At 38.8% G+C, this 1,697-nt stretch overlaps 1 annotated feature.

Annotated features, from left to right (window-relative positions):
* Positions 1,301-1,470: an enhancer, noted in NCBI's record as "experimental_83487 CRE fragment used in MPRA reporter constructs". NCBI's record gives its function as "activates a minimal promoter by MPRAs in K562 erythroleukemia cells, with activity observed for the non-introgressed 5:152583794 variant allele {active_cell/tissue: K562}" and the evidence as "EXISTENCE:reporter gene assay evidence [ECO:0000049][PMID:34662402]".

Raw genomic sequence — 1,697 nt, 5'->3', positions numbered from 1 at the left:
GGACCCCTACAATTCCTCTACCTCTGGCTCACTCGCAGGCCTTATCATAACATGGAAGCCTACTTTTTCAAAGCCAGTAGGAGAATTCTTACTTTAGTCTGTTAAGATGGAATCTTGTATCCTATAATATAATCACAGTAGTGATTTCAGCTTTGACATATTCAGTTGGTTACAAGTAGGTTGTTACTAAAGGGGAGGAAATTACACAACAGTGTGGATGCCACGGGGCAAGAATGATGGGTGCCATCTTAGAATTCTCACTACCCTCCTATGGTAACAAACAACCCCTAAATTTCACGCCTTAAAACAAGCTTGTCTAACACTTGGCCCAGGATGGCTTTGAATGCAGCCTAGCACAAATTTGTAAACTTTCTTAAAACATTATGAGGTTTTATATTCTCACTCATAGGTGGGAATTGAACAATGAGAACACATGGACACAGGAAGGGGAACATCACACTCTGGGGACTGTTGTGGGGTGGGGGGAGGGGGGAGGGATAGCATTGGGAGATATACCTAATGCTAGATGATGAGTTAGTGGGTGCAGCGCACCAGCATGGCACATGTATACATATGTAACTAACCTGCATATTGTGCACATGTACCCTAAAACTTAAAGTATAATAAAAAAAAACATTATGAGGTTTTTTGCAATTTTCTTCTTTAGCTCATCAGCTTTCGTTAGTGTTAGTGTATTTTATGTGTGGCCCAAGACAATTCTTCTTTCGATGTGGCCCAGAAAAGCCAAAAGGCTGGACACCCCTCTAAAACAACAACGGCTTATATCTGTCATGGGTTAGCTGAGGAAGGGCTTTAGCTCTGCATCATCAGGCAGAGAACCAATTTGAGGAAGGCTCCAATGCCAACTTCACTGTTGCCAAGGTAAGAAAAATGCAATCTCGCTTCCACTCAAATCTCTGTGGTGAAAACAAATGACATAATCATCTCTGAGAGTCAAGGAAGCGTGATTCTGCCTTATGCTTTAACAGAAAATTGGACATATTTGGTAAAGAATAGAAATGAGAGATGAATTCCTTAATAAATGCCTTTCTGCTGCATTCTGAATAGAGCACTCTCCTCAGATCATTGATTCACTGTATTTCCTCAACCTGAATGACCTTTCCTGTATGTCCCTATTTCCAAATTATAACACTTCAGTGCTGCAGGGTCAAGCTCAAAAGCCAGTTTCTCAGTATTTTGTGATTTTTTCTCTCAAAAAATTAGTTGCCCCTTCTCAGATCTCACATACCACTCTTCTGTACATTCTCTATCTTGTATAGCATTTATAATTTTCTAATTGTGTCTCAGTTATTTGAGATGCATTTTCTCTCATATTAGATTGGGAGCATCTTGAGGGCAGAAACAGTGGTTGAGTCACAAAAGAGACTCAGGGCTATGCTCAAGGTGGTCCTAATGTCTGGTGGCTAAGTGAAATTGATCTTGTTACCCCAGAATGTGTATTTACAAAGGCAGCTTTTAGCCAATCTTTGAATTATTTAAGGGAAATAATTGCCTAATTTTCTTATTTTATAGTAAGTTATAGTTTTTCCAGTTAAATTCTTTTCTGAATGTAACCTAAATTCCTCACAAAGTGCCTTTTGCTCATTTTCTCTTGTTTGTCCATAATGAAGATCATAGATCACATAATACAGTTGGAAAAACTTTAAAGATTATCTAGGTCAGTGATATGAAACTTT

The sequence above is a fragment of the Homo sapiens genome, chromosome 5, assembly GCF_000001405.40.
Source record: "Homo sapiens chromosome 5, GRCh38.p14 Primary Assembly".
Lineage (NCBI taxonomy): Eukaryota > Metazoa > Chordata > Mammalia > Primates > Hominidae > Homo > Homo sapiens.
This window is presented reverse-complemented; position numbering and strand designations above follow the sequence as displayed.